This window comes from Homo sapiens, chromosome 3 (assembly GCF_000001405.40).
Source record: "Homo sapiens chromosome 3, GRCh38.p14 Primary Assembly".
Lineage (NCBI taxonomy): Eukaryota > Metazoa > Chordata > Mammalia > Primates > Hominidae > Homo > Homo sapiens.
Window position 1 is genome coordinate 95,667,781 of NC_000003.12, and position 24,227 is coordinate 95,692,007.

The window sequence follows — 24,227 nt, forward strand, 5'->3', positions numbered from 1 at the left end:
TTGAGACAGAGCAGGCTAATATTTATTAATTCAAATTCAATGTTATCACCATTATTGAGTGTCTTTAAAAGTGAAAGTATGGATAGATAGCTAGATCAATTAATAGGTTTACATTTATGTGGATTGTAGGTCCATTGGCCCTTAAAAATTTCAATGTGTAAAAATAAAATTTTAGATGGTAATTTAACTATAGTTCAATTGGAAACTATTAATTCCAAAAATGTAAATTTAGAATAAAATTAAAAGAATAGTACAAGATCATGCTACATCTTTTTCTCAACTTTTATTTATTATTGTATTAAATTATACAATTAAAATATAAAGTATTTCCACATGACTCTTAACTTTATGTACAATCTGTTCAAGTAGTTTTTCAGCCAATAAAATGAAGCTGACAAATCTATTTGCTTCAGAAAATCCAGAAAATCAGAACCAAAGATATAACACACACAAAAAAGTCATTTTATTGTGAGGAGCAAATAAGACTTGCATAAAAATTTAAGTATATTAATAACTCATATTTAACAATGACTGGTTAAATTAGTTGAAGTTATGTTGCTAGCTAGAGATGTTGAATCCAGTGAAGAAAACTAATTGAAATTGTTAATTTTATTCTAGTAAGAACTTACGTTTTTCATCAGAGGCTGGAGTTACATTTCTTTCTTTTTTTGTTTTTTTTTTTTTTTTTTTTTTGAGACGGAGTCCCGCTCGGTCGCCAGGCTGGAGTGCAATGGTGCGATCTCAGCTCACTGCAACCTCTGCCTCCCGGGTTCAAGCGATTCTCCAGCCTCAGCCTCTCGAGTAGCTGGGACTACAGGCTCACACCACCAAGCCCAGCTAATTTTTGTATTTTTAGCAGGAACGTGGTTTCACCATGTTGGCCAGGATTGTTTCGATCTCTTGACATCATGATCCACCTGCCTTGGCCTCCCAAAGTGCTGTGATTACAGGTGTGAGCCACTGTGCCAGGCCTGGGGTTGAATTTCTAAGGTAAATAATTTAAGGAGAACTTAAATAAGTATGGATTTTTTATAAGGGTTTAGTGGTTTAAGTTAGTTAGCTAATAGAAATGTTCACCACTGAAAAATTCTTAAGTTTAGGAAAAAATGTCAATACATCCATTGTAGAATATTCCTTATGTTCCAGGAGGTATAAAAATGTAATGTAATTATTACTAGAATGCCAACATAGGATTGTTTGGGAGGTGAAACATGAAGTAGGATGAAATTGTCTTAAATTTCATATGAATAAATGAATACTAGATACATAAGGAATCTTCTGCAAAGATAAATAATAATGGGTGACGAGATTTCCTAGTATCAGAAAAATCTATAATGCCATACTAATTTAATCATATTGGTACAGATATAGAAAAACAATCCATGGAACCAAATAAAGAGTTTGTACTTAGATCCCATTTTATATTTATATTTATCAGACTACAGCTATGACTAAAGTAGTTACCTTCTAAGAGAAAAATCAAGATTAGTTATTAAAGAGTATTTTATATAAGAGGCTATTTATCTGTAAGAAAATAAAGAAGTTTATATTATTTTATGTCTTATAAAACAGACAAAAGACTTAATATTAAAATAGTAAAATATCCTGAAGAAAAATATGAACTCTATATGTAACATTTTCACTCAGTGTGCTTCAGAATTTATAATATTAACAAAACATTTACTTAGCAAAGAATAGCAAAGAAAATATACGGTATGATAAACAAAGTAAATATATGATAGATCTGAAATATATTTATAAAGCAGAAGAAAGATTAAAGAGTCCATTTCTATAGTAATACAGAGATCTCTTACAAATTAAGAAAAAATAAAACAACAGATAGGATTTTAATTGATAACTCACAAAAGAGCAACCCAAATTATCAAAGAAATGAGATGATAAAATACATTATGAAAATCTAAATTAAATACAATAAGGTAGATTCTCTTCCTTTCAGATTCATTAAAAAATTATAATATTTAATTACAGAATATTTAGTTACAGAATCTACTGGTGATTGGGATGTAGAGAAAATGACACATTGGTCTAAAAAATATGAACTATTATATCCTTTTGTTCATTTATTCGAGAAATACAAATTGAGCTTAATAAATTGTAGTCACATATCTAAGCATTTTGGATACATTGTTGAACAATAAAATATTCTAAGCACTCTTCTAGATCCTTGGGACATATTATTGGATGGCAACAAAGCTCTTTGCAGAGCTCGTATTCTAGTACAGTCTCTAAACTCAAATAAGCATGTGCATTTCAACACAGAAATTCCAAACCTGATATTATAACCCATAAAAATAAAGGCATAACTTATTGACATTTAAACATTTTAGTATATAATTTTGTAATAGGGAAATCACCTTAAAACCAAGCGAATGCTCAGTCTTCAATAAAGGACTAATTATGTATATTCTAGAAAATATTATGCAGTCATTCAAAAAGGTGTAAGAGCTACCTCAGAGGACTTGGAATAATTTATAGAAATTATCTTTGAAAAAATAGCATATTGCAAACAACAGTTTGTTTTTGTAAAACTTAAAAAAGTAATGTATATATGGGTGTACAGGAATATAAAACTCTACAGATATATGTCAATAAGAGATTATGGTGGATTCTACTGTTATTCTATACTGCCTGGGGAAACAGGGAAGCAGAGTGGCCAGAAGGAAATGCACACAATAAAGCAAAAATAATAACCTAAACAAGTAAGTTTGTGCTTATGTAATATATACCTGTTTTTTCCACATAAAATAAAAGAAGCCCTTTGTGACAGACACTCTTTATAAATTTTTATCATTTCCTGGTATCATGCTACCAAATTCCAGTCAATCTTCACCCATGTTCTACCAGAGTCATACCATTATTATCCTCATTTGGCAAATGAGGACACGAAGGTTAGAACACTCCCTTCCTTTGTCCATGTTCACACAGCTAGTAAGTGGTGGGACTGAAAATTGTACAAAAGCAGTCTACTGTAGTCTACTGCCTTCCCGATGTATTAATATTTCAAAATATAGCATAACCTGGTAAATGCTAAGGGTAAAATGACTTTACAACAATACTGACTAGGAGTTTTATTTTTTTCTTAAAGAAAATGCAATTGTGTCTTTGAAATAAGTTAAATGTCTGCTTTGCAATTTTATCTCAATTTCATTAAAAGGTCATAGCTGAGTGATGCAATCTGTAGTAAGAGTATGCCGAAAAACTGCTTGCGATTATTTATGCAGAATCAGTGGACTTTGTATAATTGGTGAAAAGTCCAATTTTATTTCTTTTACTGTTGTCTCTGTATTATTAATTTTATTCCTATTGATGCCATTTTAGTGGAGCCATATGTGCTCACAGTTATTATTGATTATGACAGCAAGTCTTTTACCTTTGAGAAACCTAAAGGTGTTGATGTTTACAACACTGTTACTGCCTTTTAACTACGATTTTTTTTTCTAGTCCTACTTGCTACCATGACACGCTAGTGTATTTAACATTTCGTTGGGCATTGCATTACCCGAGGGAGAACTAGTCACGCAATGACTTTGGATTGAATGTGTGCTTTTCTTAGAAGGTAAGTCTCCTTGAATTGTGATGACAGAAGATTTAAAGCTGCTTAATTTATCAAGAAATAATTTTTGTGATGTTTAACCTGTGACTGAGATATCGCATTAGATGTAATAAGTCCCGTCTTTATGTAATTTAACATAAAATTATTCAGAAATATGTATCTATTATTTAGAAGAGTAATATATGATTCTGATATCATGATGACTTTTAAGAATAGAAGAGTTTTCTATTTGCTTTTTATAGGAGGCAGGTACCTAACAATGTGATTTCAAAAAGCCAATATCAACTATTTGCTAACATTTTACTAGAAAGCAAGAGCTATCAGAATAAGTAAAATAAATTAATTAATTAGACTGTTTCCATGCGACACCAGAACATAAAAAAGCATCATAGCCATAATGTTCAAGCACAACTAACAATAATTGTTGTACGTGTCAGTAAGTTAATTACAAATTTAAAGTTATCAGTTATATTTGAAGAAAACTTGCACTAATAGTTTTCAATATATTTTTAATATCTTTGCATTTCATTTTGTTACCCTCATAGAATTTTGAGAACATATGTAATTCATTGAAGTTTTATCTCTAAAGTATGTTGGGCAACTTATAAAAATTATTGTAATTTGTATGTGCTTTCCCCATGGAGCATCTGGTTAATTATCTGTCACTAATTGACATTTAAGTGATATTTACTCTTACTTTAGTTGCTGCTCTTCTAAAAGTCATCTGTCAAAAATAACCTTAAAAATTACTAAACATCTGAAAACCAACTTCAAGTTTTTCCATTTGTAAAGAATAATAATTGTATTCATTTCTCCATGTTACAAATATCCAGAGAAGACTAAATATAAAACACTTTCTGACCTATAGATAATAGATAACAAAACGTTTAGCAAAGTATTATTATGGGTCCATTTTTATATAAATTTATACATTTTAAGGCCATGCTATTAGGAGTCCAGAAAATACCTGGGTTAATGAGTTTGTTTTGTGAACACTTTTTGTGGTGTTTCTGAACAGAATACCACAGACTGAGTAATTTATTTAGAAAGGAAACTTATTGCTTATGGTTCTAAAAGAAAGGCAGCCCAGTATCCAGGTGCCAGGATCTGGCAAGAATCTTTATGCTGCATCATCCCATGTTAAGATGTTAAGAGGGTAAAAGAATGAGAGAAACAGACAAAAGGGGAACTAAACTCATTTTTAAAAATCAGGAACACATTGCCACAACAATGGCATTATTACATTCATGAAGGCTCTGCCTTCTTAATTACTTCTTAAAATTACTTCTTAAAAGGTCTCACCTGTTAACACTCCTGCACTGTAGATTAAGTTTCCACCACATGAACTTTGGGGGACATATTCAAACCACAGCATTCCACCCTTGGCCCTGAAAATTTATGTCCTTCTCACATGCAAAATACATTCATTCCAGTCCAATACCCCCAAATTCTTAATTTATTAAAGCATTAACTCAAAAAAGTCGAAGTCCAGAGTCTCATCTAAATCAGATATGAGTGAATCTCAAAGCACAATTCATCCTGAGGCAAATTTTCCTCCAGAGGTAAGCCTGTGAAATCAAAGCAAATTATCTATTCCCAAAATACAACGGTGTAACAAGCATAGGATAGACATTTGTATTCAAAAAAGGAGAAATAATTCAGAAGAAAGGAGTAACAGGTCCCAAGTACAAAACACAACAACAATACGCACAACATTAAATTGTAAAGTTCCAGAATAATATTTCTTGACTCTATGTTCCTCCTCCTGGACATATAGCTGGACATGCTGGACTGGGGGTGGGCCTTCAAAGTCTCAGGCAGCCACACTTGTATGTCTTTGTTGGACATAGGCTACACCACAACTCTCACAGGTTGGAATCTCAGGCTTGCAACTCTCCCAGGCTGAAGTTTTATGCTGATAGCTCTACAGTTCTAGAGTTTATGTAATATCCCTGACCCCACAGTTCTGCTGGGCATTGCCCCAGTGAGGGCTCTCTGTGGTGGCTCTGTTCCTGCATCAAGTTTCTGCCCTGCCTGGGCCCCAAGGCTGTCCAATACATTCTTTGAAATCCAGGTGGAGGCCACCACAGCCCTACAGCTTGTGCACTCCGTGTGTCCGCAGAGTCAGCACCATATGGATGCTGCCAAGGCTTACTGTTTGTGCCCTCCAGTGTGGTGAGCCAAGCTGCAACTAGGCCCACTGAGCTATGGGTAGTGGTGGGGGCTGAGAAGTGCTCCACCACGATGCAGTGAGCCAATGTTTGAAGCAGCACAGGATGGTGAATCCTGAGGTCCCACAGGCTCCTCTCTGAAAACTGCCTTCAAGGTTCTGCTCTGGACCAGCCTCGGAAGGGGCAGCCTAATATCTCTGAAATGCCTTGAGAGTTTTACCTCATTGTCCTGATGAATACTACCTGGCTCCCTTCTACCCAATCGTAATCTCTTTAGCAAAGGGTCACTTGGCCACACCCTTGGTTTCCTCTCCTAAACATGCCTTTTCATTCTTTACATGACTAGCCTAAATATTTTCAAAATCTTTACTTTCTGCTTCCTTTTTAATTATAAATTCCATCTTTAGATCATTCCTCTGTTCTCTCCTTTTACGGTGAATGGCCTAAAGAAGCCATGTAGCACTTTCTACCCTTTGCTGCTTAGATATTTCTTCTTCTACAAGATAATTTAGCTCATCACTCTTAAGTTCTGCCTTGCATAAGGCCCTAAGTCAGAAACACAATTCCGACAAGTTCTTTGCAACTGTGTAACAAGGGTGGCCTCTACTCTAACTTCCAGTATCTTGTTTCTCAATTTCATTTGAGACCTCATCAGACTGGCCTTTAGTGTCCATATTTCTACCAACATTCTCATTTCAACAATTTAAGTAACCTCTAGGAAATTTCAGTTTCCCTGCAGCTCTTCTTTCCTTCTGGGCCCTCACCAGAAATGCCTTTAACACTCAATTCACAGCAATTTAAGTTTTTTAAGTCTGCTTATCCAAATTCTTCCAGTCTGTACCCAATACCCAGTTCCAAAGGTGCTTCCACATTTTTTGGGTATTTGTTATAGCAATAAACCCACTTCTGGTACTAATTTTCTGCTTTAGTACATTTTGTGTTGCTAAAACAGAATACCATAGACTGGGTAATTTATAGAAAAAAACTATTTCTCACAATTCTGGAGGCTCGGCAGTCTAATATCACACTACTAGCATCTGCTGAGGCCTTCTTGATGCTTTATCCTATGGTGGAAGGTGAGAGTGTGAGAGAGGGCAAGAAAGAGAGAGACAAAAGGGACTGAACTTACGCTTTTTATCAGGAATCCATTCTCACAATAGCTAAATTGCACTTGCAATAATGGTATTAATCCATTCATGAGGGCAGAACTCTCATGACCTAATTATACCTTAAACATGCATTGGGCATACATTTCTAACACCTGAGCTTTGAGGGACACATTTAAACCATAAAAATGTGTTGAGTCAAAAACATGCTATTTTGTTTCTAAAAGGATCCATTTAGCTATGACTTAGCAACTAGCAGAAATACTGTGTAAGGGAATTCATTTCATTATGTGAACTCATGACCTCAATTTTCACAGGTAAATAGTAGAACAGTTTGACTAATCTTCTAAAGCCAATCCACTTATATTTGACATGGCAATGTTTGTTAGGAAATATTTCATAGGCAAAACAGGATAGCAGAACTATTTGTGTTTTCCCCTCCAGTGAAATGTGAAACGAGTGACAATAAATAGTTCAAGACTGATTTTAGATAGAGGAAAAAAATGTATGAATTTAATAACAGTATTATGAAAAATTAGTTTCATAATTGTTAGAGAACAGGATATATTATTATGTGTACCTAGAAGATCATCAAGAACTACAGAAATAAATGGCATTTCTGTTTAAATACTCTCCTATTTGTAGCATTATAAGCAAATATTAAACCTGTATGAAATTATTATATGCAACTATAGTTAAAATTTTTTCAAGAATTATTACTTCAAAACACTTTCTAAGGTGGAATAATTTTAACTGAAAAACAAAATAATTTTGTACTTTGCCTTTTGTTTATTGTGTATCATAGCATACTTGGCAAAATCTCTGCTAATTCTCTCATGTATACATTGACATTATGTGAAGGAAATGGTTTGGATTAAAGAGAAAATTCTTCTTTCATGCTGTGCTTAAAATAACTCAACTGGCTTGAAAACCATGTGGATCAAAACCAGCATGACTGAATGATTCAACATGATACATCATCGTACTAAAAGCAGATTGAAACAAAAATGTGTAGCTTATAAAATGCAAACATTATTTTAAAGTATGCAAAAATGCCAGTTCTTGTAAACATCAGTTGGATACCAAAGATGTTTAAAAATTTACCTTTAATATTGGTATCTAGTCTGTGCTTTTGATGCCTGTGCTTTTATAGTGGTTAATAGATACTTTTAAAAAATGGGTGATTCAATTCAGTTTTCCATTAAAAGAAATAAAAAATGTATATCAAATATATACCAAAATATTTTCGAATTTAATAACATTTTATTAGAGTTCTGTAGTTCAAGCTACTTTTATAATGATTTATGTATAGAAGATTTTTTCAAAAAAAGCTTGTCAATGAAAAATCTTTTCACTTACTAAATCAAGAGTTACTCTATACCTTGCTAAATATAGAAGTGCAACTTGACATGTAGCCTAATCAAAAATTTAAAGAGGAAAGTATAGTACTTTATTTTCAGATTTCGTAGCATTTTCAATAACATTATTTGACAAACCTGCTACTCTTATAATATCTTTGTTTTTTTATAGCACGTTTGTTAAGATTGGCATACTGAAATGTCTCCAGTTGGATCTATAAACAAAAAGGAGTTTCATGATCAGTTTCTTTGAGAACATCAGTGTTTCTTGGTCTAAGCTGAACGCTAAATTAAAACAACATAAAGGGAATATTCACTCTTTTTATTATTATTTCTATGACTGTTGTTACTTTTACCTAGAACAGTTGTGAAATTGAGAGACAGAACACAAATGTTGTTAGAAAGAAATGGCTATGATTATTTCATGTAAAATGAGGAATGGAAGAAATCGTTAGCTAGAAATATCAGGTATAGAGTGGGGGCAGAGAAGTGCTGTGCCACAATGCAGTGAGCAGATGTTGGAAGCAGCACAGGAAGGTGAATATTCACCATGGTTTTAAGGCAGAAGCAAGATCTGAGAAATAAATCAAAAAGGAGATAATCAAATGTTTAGTGAGATTGTCCCAAAGACAGACATAAGTTATAGCTAAATATAAACCCAATTTCTCGTCATTAAAATAAATTATCGGGGAAAATGTTATTCCTAGTAATAGATTGCCTTGACAATTGAAGTTTACTTTTTCAGAAACTTTTGCCATTATTATTTAAAACAAACAAATTTAAAACAACCCTTGTTTCTAAAACATTGCATACATCTAACAGAACTGACCATTTCTTACCTTATTAGCTTGGAGTGCTCTATTTTTTTTTTTTTCAATTCCAAAGTACCTTCTCCCCAAATGCTGTATGTCTAAGGGTCCTTTGCTTTTGTCATTGTTTTGAGACTGAACACACGGACTTCAGATACTTCTGCGTAACTAGATGTTGGGGGTGGACAATGGCAGCTTCCATCCAAATAGTAACTTAGGTGAAATTATGAAGTCCTTGGTGAAATTTCCACTCACATGAAGTGGAGATATTTAGCAGACAAGGACTCTCAGCAACATAAACACTCATGGTTTACTGTCTCAGTTTGATCCTTCTCACCAGCCCTTAATATCTGAATATTGGAATAAATAACTCCACCTAATATAGCGAAGAAAAAGACAAAATCTAACCTGACTTTTAAGATACGAAGTATGTTGAGGGGTCATATTCTATTAGACATATTTTCTTTTCTTTGTTTTTAAATATACAATTAGTATATTTCAAAATGTTAAATATAATTTAACTTTTCCTTAATTCTAGGTCATATTATTGATGAGGTTTTATTTCCTTTTCCTTGCTTTATTTTGTCAAATTCCTTTTATTTTCTTTTTGTTAAACCAATATCTAGCATCATCCTTAACAAAAAAGCATTATGAGTAACATATTAGGTAATTAAAAAATTAAAAATATGAAGGGTGTATATTACTACCCTTAGCAGTTTCCTGGAAGTAGTAATTTACTTAATAAAGCTGTAAATAGTTATAAATATTTGGTAGTTTTTAAAAAGTGGTGAACATTAAAAAGATAGAAGAAATCACATTAAAATGTGTTAAAGTATAAAAATATTTTACAAAAAGAATTTAGCTAATATTAATATGTTTTTATATATTTAATTTAGAATATAAATTAAAAGATTTCCAGTCAATTTTTTTCTTATCCTAGAATCTCATATCTGACTTGAATAAGATATGCAATTACATGTATTGGTTATTGCCAATCTTTAAAAAATTATTGAAAAATTACTCTATGCATGGCAATGCTAGGTACTATAAATAGAGGGTTTATTTATTAGTTGTTTATTTATAATATTTATTAAACTATTCACAAATTTATTTAACATCATCATTGAAAGGATAATTGTGTCCTTACAAGTAATAGACCTGTATTCATTCTTGGAAAATGTCTCCAATATTATTTCAGATACCTAACTTTAAAATTAGAGTCTGTCAATTTAAAGTATTTATTTCCCTCATCCAACAACATCTTATGAGAAAACTACATATAATGCAAACCTACTCTGGATAACCTTGGCAGATGTAGAATAAAACAGAATGTCACCATGTGGCTAACATGATTGCCAGGAAGGTGAGAGGATCAAGTTAGAATAAAAGCAGGGTAGGTACTGAGGAAACCTACAAAGTCATGTCATTCCTAGCATGGCCATTCAGATGGCCACAGGATTTTACTGGGAGTAGGGTTAGCACTGCTTTGGTGTAATCTTTGCTGCTGCACAGCTGGACTCTCAATTTGATGTTATCATCATGGATAATTTTTAACTGTTTCACGTCAGGATGACTTCCTTTCCTCTGGGCTCCACATCTCCATTCCTGGCATAAATGAGGACTGAAGATATATATTCTATTGCCTCCCAATGTTGAATCAGTGATGTAAGCTCTTTCCATCAAAACATGAAATCAATTTCTCTATCCTTGATTTTGGTCTGCTTTAGGAATACATCATGAGAAGGAGATGAGTCATCATAAATATCCCTAAGAAAAAGTTATAGGCTGATGTTCATTTTTGTACATACCTTTCATGGATTGAAAATATGGAAAAAAAATGAAAGGGTACAATGGATAAGGGGAAAATAGATAAAGTAGAAGGAAGGCAGGAAGGAAATATCAATAATATGGCCGGGAGTGGTGGCTCATGCCTGTAATCCCAGCACTTTGGGAGGTCAAGGTGGGCAGATCACCTGAGGTCAGGAGTTCTAGACCAGCCTGGCCAACATGGAGAAACCCCATCTCTACTAAAATTCCCAAACTAGCCCGGCATGGTGGTGCATGCCTGTAATCCCAGCTACTCAGGAGGCTGAGGCAGGAGAATCGCTTGAACCTGGGAGGCAGAGGTTGCAGTGAGCCAAGATCACACCATTGCACTCCAGCCTGGGCAACAAGAGTGAAACTCCATCAAAACAAGAAAGAAAGAAAGAAAGAAAGAGAGAGAGAAAGAGAGAAAGAGAGAGAGGAAGAGAGGAAGGGAGGAAGGGAGAAAGGGAGAAAGAGAGAAAGAGAGAGGGAGGGAGGGAGGAAGGAAGGAAGAAAGGAAGGAAGAAAGGAAGGAAGGAAGAGCAAACCCTAATTTTTGCAGCTTGGTATAATTAAAATAGCAAAATAGTTTAGAAAATGGATCTTTTAGATTTGAAATTGGCTTTTTAACACTTTTTCAATTTTTTAAAATTTAAAAACTCCATTTTTCTTCTTAAAACCTGAGGGAAATTCAACCATAAATGTCATACACCTTTTGGATAAAAATGTACTAGAGTATTGATTGAGAATAGTAAGATTATGTGACAAGAATCAAAGTGTCATAGGCAGAAGTTACTCATCAGCTTCATCAGAGAAAGGATATTGTGTCAACCTGTTTCTTAATCTGATTAATAGCTTTTCTATAGATTGTAATTTATTATCCTCACACCTAATAATTATGCTCCAGTTGAAGCCAGCTGGGAAACACTAAGAGAATTTTAATATTTGTTTTCTAATTAGGATGATCATTTTCAATTAGCCTCCACTTAAAGCTCTTAAATAAAATATAGTTGCTGAAACCCTCAGACCTGTCATTAAACAGAAACCTGTGGGCCTTTTATTGCATCCCCTATATTTAGCTTTCCAAATTACTCATAATGCTTTTTATCTTCTGCTGGCCATTTTATAAATTCTATCCACATACCCAAAGCTGTAAGCTGGGAATAAAAAGAGGACTTTATCACTTGCTAGGGAGATTCCTTTCCAGTTAAACTTCCTTGTAGCCAATCAATTTGTCAGATCAGAGGACTATCTTTTGTGAGAGTTCCTCTGAACTAAAGCTGACAGGGCTAGGCTAGGGTCAGCTGTCTGATAAATCAAAGTGAAAGATAACTTAAAGCACTACAGTAGAGAGGGTTAGGGATTAGCACAGATGGCATTATCTGGGAGTTCACATTGATAAAAATCATATTTGTAAGAGTTAGCCTGCAAGACTTTTTTTTCCCAACTCTTCTATTCCCTGCCCTCTCAAATGACATTCAGATTAATTAGAAAAGTTCGAAAAGAACGGGACTCATAAGCCATTTATCTAACAAGTGGTAAGATTTTTAAAAATTAAATCTTGATGGTCTTCAATAAAACAGCTTAATAAAGATTAAGGGTTATCAATCTTTGCTCTAAGCTATCAAAACTAAGTGACCTTAAATTATATTGAAGTGATATGCAGTAACAAAGTGACAGATACTTTACTGAAGGTTACAATTCTGAGAACATTCAGATATTTATTTACTAAAAGTTTATAAATTTTATGAAGAAAAAATAACTTTTTCAAAATATCTATATTTATCAGAAATAATCTTTTGCCTCTAAGGTAGAGTTCATAATTATATTCTTAACTTACAATTTAATTTCAGTAGAAAATATTGCTATGTTTGAGTCTAAGAATTCCAAACATTGAAGCCAATAAATTAAAACAACTTATGTTTCTAAGTTTTAAAATCAATCATAAAAATCTTCCTAATTTATAGGTAATTTATATGCATGAGATAATACACAATGCATCTAATTGTTGTGCCAAGTTGTCTTAAAATAAAAGTGTGATGAGTGGGTAATACTAAGTCTTTTTTCTCCAGTACAATATCACAGTCATTCTGTGCGGCTCAAATGGAGAGGTAAAGGCATGCAGATCATCAATCGTCTAAAATGTCACCACACACTTTGCAAAAAAGAAGACTTATTAGTAGCTGAGGATCTGAAAAATGTTAAAGTGAAGTGTTTTCCAAAAATATACCAAAAGACATTCTGTCTCTAACTCTTCTGCCTTCATAAGAAGTCACCAAACCAAACAGGGTTTTTGTTTTTGTTTTTGTTTTTGTTTGCTGCTGTTGTTGTTTTTTTCTCATACTGCAAAAAAGTTTCCAAGGAAGGGAACTAATTTAGCGAATTACAAAAATTTACCTCTGTCAGGCCAGGAGCGGTGGCTCACGCCTGTAATCCCAGCACTTTGGGAGGCCGAGGCAGGTGGATCATGAGGTCAGGAAATCAAGACCATCCTGGCTAACACAGTGAAACCCCGTCTCCACTAAAAATACAAAAAAAAAAAAAAAAAATTAGCCCGGCATGGTGGCAGGCACCTGTAGTCCCAGCTACTTGGGAGGCTGAGGCAGGAGAATGGCCGGAACCCAGGAGGCAGAGCTTGCAGTGAGTTGAGATTACGCCACTGCACTCCAGCCTGGGGGACAGAGCAAGGCTCTGTCTCAAAAAAAAAAAAAAAAAAAAAAAAAAGAAAAAAAATTTACCTCTATAAATAAAAATATTTATTCCCATAGGCTCTTGGACTTTTAATTTAGTGACCCTTGATTTTTATGTAAAATTGCAATAAAATATTTCAATAGAATATAAACTTATACTTACTCTATAAGAAGAAAAGACAATTTACTGAAACAGGACAAAAAGAGAAAAAATAAATTAAAAAAAGTTGAGAGTGTATAAGATATTTTACAGTATTCTGTGAATCACAAGAAGTTTTACCTATTAAATTATCTCCAGAATTAAACATAAGAATCTTATAAGTGCTATAGATTTATAAGATTATAAGTGCTATAGGGTTTATGAGATTCAATTTGTTACAAATGATTTTCTGATGAAATATTTGAAGAAATATTATTTCAGATAAATTTAAGAAAATGTGGTAATTAAACATTCATTGCATAAACTTTCTTATAATAGTCAGTTTTACGAAGTTACATTTTGAACAAAATTCCACATCTAAAGCAATAATTAAATAAAACATATTAAATACTTAATGATTTAAAATAAAAATTAACCATGAATATTCATTCTTAAATAATTTATATTCTAAGATATTTGCTGTGTTCATATTATTTCATATGTCCAGGGAATCTAGATGCAAAGTAATTTCTTGCTTTCACAGGGATTGAAAAAATAAATCTGATAACATAGAGGAGCTTCTTTAAGGTAATTATGAGAAATCAAAATTGAAATGTAAAGTAAGAAAGACTGATATTAACATTCGGATACTTTTTGTAAATAATCCTGTTACTCAATCTTTAGTTCCTCTTTCTTCTCCTCCTTTTTCTTCTTTACTTGGCATAACTTTTTAATTTATGAATTAGAAAAAAAAATTACACTTTTTATGACAATGTAAACAATTTAATCTCCATAATTGGTAAATTAACTGAAATAAAACCAAAAGATATTTTTAGATGCTACAGGAAATACAGACATCTATCTACTGTTTAAAAGGTATTCTGCATTGTAACCAAAAAATTTATTTTTGTTTTCCGAACTTTACAGTTTGTTTGGCTCAAAAATGCACAATTTTGGGGGGAAAAGGAAAAGTAAGTTGAAAACAAATGACAGTGTCACTAATCAAAGTAAAATATATTTAAAATCTGGAAGTACATACAATTTTTTATAAAAATGAAATTCCTTAAAAGGCTTGATATTTATTCAGGCTTTATGCATCAGCAGGTACCTGTAAGAAAAACTCTATTAGGGTAGTGATGACAAACAGGTATATACTTATGTACTTACATAATATCCAGGAAATTGGAGTTGTTCCACCACAATGAAGAAATGAATTTTCAGAAGGTTTCTTGAATGAGAAGGAAGAGAGCAAGCAATTCCATCCAAGTGAGCTTGCTTCATCCACGATTGGGTGAGGGGAGAGGGAAAAGCCTATTTGTAGTTTGAGAATAGATTAGAATAAATACTTTTCTTGAATGTCACAAAAAGCTAACTGAGATGGTTTTCCAGTTTCCAAGACTATAAAATGTATAGACCAATCCATGGTAAAACATGGCTACTGAACTCAGAGGAAATGAAAAACATGACACATCTGACCATAATTATTGAAAGGTGAGATACTCTAATAGTAACATCAGACGAGGTAAATAAAAGAGGACAGCAAGACTGCTGTTCCTCAATGAAATATTTCCAAATGTTTCTTAAGACCCAGTGAATATTTCAGAGATAGCATTTCTGGACACATGAGTCTCATTAAAAGCAGAAGACATAAACATGATAGCTGTAACTTTCATCGCTGGATTAGTCTATGGGTTGAGCCAAAAGCATCATCATGAAAACTGTCATTAAAGATGTACTATCATGACTTACATCAAAGACATATGTTCTTTCCAAACAAATGAAGTATCCCCACATGAATGGGAGGAGAGTTTTTACAAAATAACTCTGTCATTCCTTGGCATTTTTCTTAAATTATGAGTAAAATTGCACCTTACAGTCGATTGCATTAATGCTATGAAACTGAATGTTTTAGGATATATAACAAAAAAATTACTGGTAATTGCTCATCGCTGAGGCTTCCCCAAATGTAGAAAAGTTGTGGAGCTCTTTTTCAAGATATTTTAAATCCCCTCCCACACTTAGAATAAAGAGAGGCACTTATCCAACATCCAGATCTCTTCTTGGCACACATATTGGAATAAAACATCAGGGTTGAATTGGGCTTTGATGAATAATGGCATGGTTCTTCAAAGGGAGTGAAACAAAAAAGGCATTTGACATCATTCATCAAAGAAGGCTCAAAATGGCACAGATCAAAAGCAACTGTGGTTCCAAACATCTCTAGATAGTTCTTCAGAAATGGGAGAAGCCTCCTGGATTTCCTTGATTAGTTTTTCATCTAGCATTCCAATTAAAATTAAAAGTGTCAAGTCACAATTATGTTCACTTCCGTATGTGTTCCCATTCAAGATTTAAATGACGAAAAAAAAAGTTGGAATCAAAGTTTTTGCAGGCACTTCAGACCACATTGAGTTAGGTGAAGGTCCTTTTTCTAAAAGAAGATCATGGAGATTTTTTCAACAGCAGGAGTGACAGAGACACTACTCTTAAGAATCTTCACCCTATTCTTCAAGAGAAATGGAAGATTTTTTGAGATTTCAGTGTCAGCTTTTTCATTATTCATAAATTATTCACTAAACACTTGCTTTTGAATGTTTCTTTCAGACAGAAATCTCTTATATGATCTGGATGCTTTTTCATCTCCAGCAAGATTTTTTCTGATTTAATTGGAACCTTACTCTTTTAAAATAAATTATCACAATTGACTAGATGTCATTACTTATGACATAATGATATTCCATACACTGCGCATGTCAACAATGTTTTTAATCAAATATACATATTTCATTATTACATTAATTGAATTTTTTCATTCTGTTCTTATAACTGAGAATAGAACATTATACTTTTGAATGTGTAGAACCATCGATTACTACATCCTTTGGTACTTCAAATTATCCACTTCAGTAAGGCATGGTGGCACACACCTGTAGTTCCAGCTACTCCAGAGGCTGAGGTGGGAGGATTACTTGAACCCAGCAGTTTGAGACCAATCTGGGAAATATAACAAGACCTAGTCTCTAAAGTAATAATGAAAAAAGAATAAGAAAATGCCCAGATCACAGACCTTTGGTCTTCACACAATGTATAAACAGATAGACTAGCATATTGCTTCATAGATTTTGGCTAAAAGAAAATACCACTTGCTATGCCATTTGGTAAGACTTACTGGCTTTTATCAGCATTTTACAATATACCTTCTGAGTTTCCGGGCTCCTTTCTTCAAATGCATTCAAATGACCAGTCTCTGCCAACCATGAGGAATATTGAGCACACTAGTGTTTTGAACTTTTCCATTCTCCAGCAGACTTACTTCTTCCTCTGATGTAAAATGGTCTATATTCTCTTCAACTATTGCTATATTAAATTTCTGGCACCTTTTGTGTTTTGTTTGTTTTATGTCAGTAAATACCACAGAGGTTCCATAACGGTAATTGTCATTGAAAATAATTTTTTAACTGCATCCATGTTGGTAGCCTCTTGTCTACTTTATTTAGCCTCATAGGAATATAGCGTATTTTGCCCATAACAATTATTATTGTGATTTGAAGAGAACAACAATAAGACCCACATTTTTCTCACGTTATTGATCATTGCTGGCCTTTCACCCTAATCTAAGCTTTGAAGACTGGCATGCATCGTGGCAGCATCATGCTAAGAATGCTATGTCTCCATAGACTCAACTGCTCTGCATTCCGCTCCTCATCAAAGAAGCTCTTCATGACAATCACCACCGGCACAGGTCCAGGTCCATGTGTGTGTGTGTATGTGTGTGTGTGTGTGTGTGTGTGTGTGTGTGTGTGTATCTTGGTTCATAAAGATACTTCTAATATTTATTTATATTTAATTTATATAAATATATATTCATATTTTTATTTTTATGTGTTATATTTATAGAGAATAACCACTATTATGAAACAGTAAAACCATGGCTGGGGGCGGTGGCTCACGCCTGTAATCCCAGCACTTTGGGAGGCCGAGGTGGGCGAATCTCGAGGTCAGGAGTTTTAGACCAGACTGGCCAACACAGTGAAACCCTGTCTTTACTAAAAATACGAAAAATTAGCTGGGACTGGTGGCGGGCACCTGTAATCCCAGCTATTTGGGAGACTGAGGCAGGAGAATCGCTTGAACCCGGGAGGCGGAGGTTGCAGTGAGCCGAGATCGCGCCACTACACTCCAGCCCGGTTGACAGTGCGAGGCTCCATCTCAAAAAACAAACTAACAACAACAACAACAACAACAACAACAAAACCAGTAAAACCACATTGTCAGAGCATACAGCACTTACGTATTCTCTCTTTATATATCTATATATCTATCTCCTACTTTGCTTCAGTCTGCAAATGACTGTATCTTTAAGAGTTATCAGTGTTCCTTAGGTCTCTAGTCACTTCGGTTTTGTTAAGCACATCTTCTAGTAGATTTCTAAAGACCTAAGGAAAGCAATATTCTCTGTTGATTCTGCATTGATAATAACAGACTGTCTATGCACTTTATCATTTTGGGAACAGACACTGTGAATTACTGGAGAGAGGAGGAGGTGTTTGGTTAAAAAAAAAAAAAAAAAAACTACCTATCAGGTATTTTGCTTACTGCCTGGGTAACAAGATCTGGATTGACAAACAGTGGTCTCAACTGGAATCCATCTCACTGTCTGTTTAGGCAGACTGCCTAAAATACTAAAATATTCACTATCTGGCCATCCATGAAGAAAGTTTGGCAACTCCTGGTCTAGATTCCCAAGAAACTTTATTTTCTTTGTGATTAAATATCAATAATTTTATGATAATATATGTTATTAGCCATTCTTTTCAGGAATATTATAAGCTACTTTAATAAGTAATTTCATATCTTTTTAATCCTGGAAAGTTTGCTTAAAATATAGTTTTTAGTATTTATTCTGTTCCCTATTATTTTCATCTTCAGTGTTTCTTTACGTTGAAATGTTGCATATTCTTTATTAATCTTCGTTGTTCATTTTACTTAAATCCCTTTATGTTTTCTCTTATATTTTGAAAATTTAAAAAATGTTCCTTCTTTTTCTTCCATTTCTGAAACAAAATTATCTGTTGCATATAAACAGTCTTGTGTTAGTTGCAGTTTAATCTTCAAATCTCACTTTATTTTGTTCTTTTATTTTCCAAAGATCTGCAATCCAATTTGAGTTTTCTAATTACGTTATATTTTTCATACAATTTGTTTTTTCAGCTCATTTGAATAGTAGATTATAGTTTCATAATCCGATCGCTTTTGTATGCTTATCTCACTGGTAAGTTTGTTTTTATTGTCTGTGGAAATGCCATTCTGCTATTCCTTATCTTGCAACTCTGTTATTCTGTTTCCTAATAAAAATGCTGTAAGGGCTGGGCGCGGTGGCTCACGCCTGTAATCCCAGCACTTTGGGAGCCTGAGGCGGGCAGGTCACGAGGTCAGGAGATCGAGACCATCCTGGCTAACATGATGAAACCCCGTCTCTACTAACAATACAAAAAACTAGCTGGGCGTGGTGGCGGGTGCCCATAGGCCCAGCTATTCGGGAGGCTGAGGCAGGAGAATGGCGTGAACCCGGGAGGCGGAGCTTGCAGTGAGCCGAGATCACGCCACTGCACTCCAGCCTGGGCGACAAAAAAAAAAAAAAAAAAAAAAAAAAAAAAAAAAAAAAAAAAAAAAAAAAAAAAGTGTTGTATGAAACTTGACCTTGATTATTTTTGGTAGCTCGCTTTTATATAAAATCTGGTTCCCTAAAAATTTAGAAATTTCATTTCAAGATAATTTTGTGATTTCACAGATCTTCCATTGTTATCTATAGTCTGAAAAATTATGGAGATTTTCTATGAGATTTCCTGGCTCTTTTCCTGTCTCTTATATTTAGCTGGATCGTCTTTTTCTTTGCTGTCCTTTCAGTACAATTTTTATTTAATTTCCAGACATTTCTCTTAAATGTGTAGCCCTTACTTCATATTGCTCTTTGATTCGTCACTTTTGAGTGTAAATTTGAACTAAACTATTCAAATTCCTTCTGACCTTATAGCCACCCTTACTCTCATGCAATGTTTGGATGAAACCCGTCCAAAATTCAGATGCTATTCTCAAATTAGACTTCAATGTTTTCTAGAAATATCTGTTGCTTATGTATGTATTTTTCCTGTTCTCAGGTCCATCAGACACCTCATTGCTTTCAACCTGTTTCTCTCCAAGAGAAGGTGATCTTATAAATATCATGTGCTTGCTTGTTAGTGATTTTTGCCACTCATTTGTTTTTTAGCGTTGTTGAAAATACCTTCTTGGCTAGGATTTTTGCAGATGTTGCCCATGTTATTTTTGGTTTTGATATCCAGATATTCCTGTCTTATCTTCACAAGAAGTTTTGGATTCAAAAACTGTATTACCACCACGATGGCCTCAGAATTTTTTTGTTGTTTTGAAACATGGTCTTGTTTGTCACACAGGCTGGAGTTCAATGGTGTGATCAGGACTTACTTCAGCTTTATCTCCTGAGCTCATTTGATCCTTCAGGCTCAAGTGTGCCTCCCACCTCAGCTTCCTGAGTAGCTGGGACTACAGGTGCATGTCATCATGTCTAGCTAGTTTTAAAGTATTTCTGTATAAACAGGGTCTTACTATGTTGCCCAGGCTTGTCTTGACCTCCTGAGCTTAAGTAGTGCTCTGACCTCAGAGGATTACAGGCACGAGACACCGTGCCTGGCCCTAGTATTCTTATAAATACCTTTTTTTCTTTTTTTTTTTTTTAAATCAGTATTTGTTCCCTGCCTTATTTTTCTGTGGCTACAGAATCCTAAACTAAAGGCAATCTTTTAATGTCTATCTAACCTACACATTCACTAGACAAAATTAAAATCCTTTACTGTGTCTTTTATAGATATCATCACAAACATCAATTGATCATTTTCAAAAACATTTAGGGAACTAAGAGCATCATCTATTTTAATATAAATAAATAAATATACAAATCTAAATGAATACAGAATAATTATTTTTTAACAAATCTGAGGTACCTGGATACTGGTTTTTAACACAAAGAGGAAAACAAAAATATCATAACATTTCTGTTACATATTTCGTTTATCTTCTTTGGGCTTATTAGAAGACCTTGCACTGGGTAGTTATGTAATTACTAGTATTCTATTTTGATTTTGGAAGAGTTTTGGATCTTGTGATCATTTATTTATATTATATAAAGCTTATTTTTCAATCAATAGATACACGTATGTATTTTTTTTTGCAGTTTGTATGAAATATCTGCTTCAAAACAGGACAAATGCTTGTGACTTTTATTGTAATTTCTGATGTGTTATGATGTCATTTTGCCATAAAAGATGAAGTTTGTTTGTAAACAATTTAGTTCATTCAAAACAAGTTTTAAGTTTCCTCAAAAATAATCAAATTAATGAATATTCAAATATATACATCTATTATGCTCATCATAGACATATTTGCTTCCTAATTTTATGAGAATTTACAGAGGTGGACTGTTTTTTTAAATAATGCTTCTTTTATCCTTTATCTCCAAAATGATACCTATTTCTTACCCATATAAACATTGTACAAATAACCAATTTACAATTTTATGGATTATATTATAAAGACAGAGACATAATTTTCACTTATTCATGAAGTATTCATAATCTCATTTTTGTAACATTTTCTAGTTGGATCTGAGCACCATTCTTATAAATAAGGAGGATTAATAAGAATGTATAAACATGATGTCCCTGCTTAAATTTACAAATATTGTCAGTGATGGAATTGATAAAATACCTACAACTTGCATAAATGTGCTCATACTTCATATTTGATCTTTTTTGGACAGCAAATCAGTCTTCCAAAGACTTATTAATCGCATGACAAATGTTTCTTATTTTAAATTATTTTTGACAAATGATAAAGCAACAACTGTTAATATTGAGCAATTGTCCCTTTTAATAATGTTTTTGTTTGTCTCCTTTCTTTATGCTATTCTTTAATTTACGGGTCAGCAAACTATGACCTATGGGCCAAAACCTGTCAACTACATGCTGTTGTACAGCTCACAGGCTAAAAATAGTTTTTACATTGTTATTAATAATTTAAAAATCAAAAGAAAGATAATACTTTACTACATATGAAGATAAAATTCAAATTTCAGTGTGCATAAAATATTTTATGGAATAAAGTTTTATTGGAAGAGAGCCACAGTTAATTATTTACACATTGGCAGTGTTTTCTGTTCCATAACACTAGAGTGTAGTAGGTGTGAAAGAAACGGTGTGGTCCTCCAAGCCAGAAAATATTTACTTTCTGATCCTTTACAGAAAGAGTTTCCTGAGTCCTGTTTTAAATTATTCTGCCTTGTTCAGATAAAGATTTTATAGAGCTGACTAGTCTCATAAATAGCAATGACAAAAAGACTCATGGCTTTTAAATTGGAGCAATAAAAAGCCAATCAAATGAAACGTTTCCAATAGATTAATTGGTTAATGTTATTGAACACAAATTGTTCTGCTATGTTGAATTACTGTGAGGTGATTGCGGCTTTGCTCATGGTTAATAGAGTAACCCAGACCATTGAGTTGGAACTGGACAAAACGAATATCAACTTCTTTCTAACTTGTAGATTTTTGTCACTTCTTAGTTGGAAAAGAAGTCAGAAAAATTAGCATTTTATATATAATGCTCAACGTAGCATTATAATAAACCATGATGTCAGAAAATAAACTGTATTTCTCAATCAGAGCCACGTCTATTGTCCTGGCTCTTCTTGAGATCAAACTCTATGTACTCCCTTTGGCTCATGGCCATAAGATTTGACAACATGCTGAAGAATATCAAGGAGAATTCTGAAAAGGAAAATGGAGCAGAATCATATGTACCGTAGCTAGAGGTTATAGGTTTGTGATAGGGTAGAATTACTCTCATAATATGGATTTGGTATTGCGACTTGGTAGCACCTCCTTCATGCTCGCTGTTCTGCTGGATGGTTGCCCATCTCGCCTGTGCTGTCATTCCACTCCTCAAAGCATGGAGGCAAAAGATAGTGCATGGAATACCTACACCTAGTGTAGAATCTCCTCATATTGCCAGGGTGATATAAGATAAAGCATGTGGGACTCTTTTCTTTTCTATTGTAATTCTGGGCAATTTACTTTTTGAGTTTTGTGCTCCATATCTTTAAAAGGTGGAAAATACTCATCATGATTGAGAAAAGAGAATTATATCTAATATGCTTAGCACATAATATTGAGGCTACTTCCATTACATAACTGATGTGCTGGAAATGTAACATAGTAAAAACCTATACTTTATACAAAAATGTTTTATCACATTGCAGTAAAAAATATTTAGTTGGTTTTGCCATAAATATGTATCTATGCAACATATAGGTGAGCACCAACCTTAGGTCATATTTCTTGTGCTGACATCCACCTGTAATATCTCCTAGCTGTTGGAATTTGGAGAGGTACCTTCACAGAGCTGAGCTTCTTTTTTTTTTTTTTAATATAAAGCTGGGAAAATATTACCAACACTTGCATTTGTTAGGAGAATTAAATAAAATACTATATGAAAAGTATATTAAGTGCTCTATACATGTGAAATACATTAATACAAATGCAATGAATCTTTTAACAACTTTTTTTAAGTATGATGTAAATATTTGCTAAGTGTGTTGGCTACTTGCTGTGCTAACATAACAAATTATTCTGAAAATCTCTGCTATACTGAAAGCATACAGGCATTCATCAAGTACCTGATCATTCAATCTAACATTAATACTGTGGGTGTCTGCAAGCCTCAACGGAGAACACCATGATACTTTTCAGAATCTGAAAGGTAACTTCCAAGAAGCATTGCCTTTGCAGTTCTGAGATTCACTATTTAAAATGGGACAGGCCCATCGTGGTAGTTCATGCCTGTATTCTTGGCATTTTGGGGGCAAAGGTGGGCTGATTGCTTGAGCCCAGGAGTTCAAGATCACTCTGGAAAACATAGCAAAACCTCATTTATACAAAATAATTAAAGAAAAAAACCAGCTGGATGTAGTGCATGCACCTGTGGTCCCAGCTACTTGGGAGGTTGAGATGGGAGGATCACTTGAGCCCAGGAGGTCAAAGCTCCATTGAGCTGTGATCACACCATTGCATTCCAGCCTGGGTGAAAGAGTGAGATGCTGCCTCAAAAAACAAAACCAAAACAAAACCCAAAACACCAAATGTGACACTTCCTCTCTTTCCACATTTGTATCCCCCAGTGTCTATTGTTCACATTATATACATTTGTAACAAACCTTCACATGTACACCCTGATTCTAAAATAAAAGTTGAAAAAAATTAAAAAACTTTTTAAAAAGGAAAAATGGTGATTTCAAAAATTGACACATCCAAATACTTTGTCCACAGAACTGCTCTATTAATCCAGCTGTAACATCCAGTTTGTGATTTATCTCCATAGTCTAGCATTCCATTAGATTTGTACGTGTATTTGGCAATGTTTTTGTAAGTAAATTTCTTGTTATAAAATCAATAAAGTTTCAACAAAAAAAGGCCAGATATCATACCACATACATACAGACATAC

At 33.7% G+C, this 24,227-nt stretch overlaps 1 pseudogene across 1 annotated transcript in view; it reads right to left on the reverse strand.

Moving 5' to 3' along the window:
• Positions 1-15,413, reverse strand: part of MTHFD2P1 (methylenetetrahydrofolate dehydrogenase (NADP+ dependent) 2, methenyltetrahydrofolate cyclohydrolase pseudogene 1) — a 28,771-nt pseudogene extending 13,358 nt beyond the window's left edge. The window contains exons 1-3 of the transcript NR_077228.1: positions 14,821-15,413; positions 13,222-13,345; positions 630-985 (exon numbers count right to left, since the gene is read on the reverse strand). The product of NR_077228.1 is annotated as a methylenetetrahydrofolate dehydrogenase (NADP+ dependent) 2, methenyltetrahydrofolate cyclohydrolase pseudogene 1 (transcript). The remainder of the gene's footprint in view (positions 1-629; positions 986-13,221; positions 13,346-14,820) is intronic.
• Positions 15,414-24,227: the final 8,814 nt, after the last annotated feature.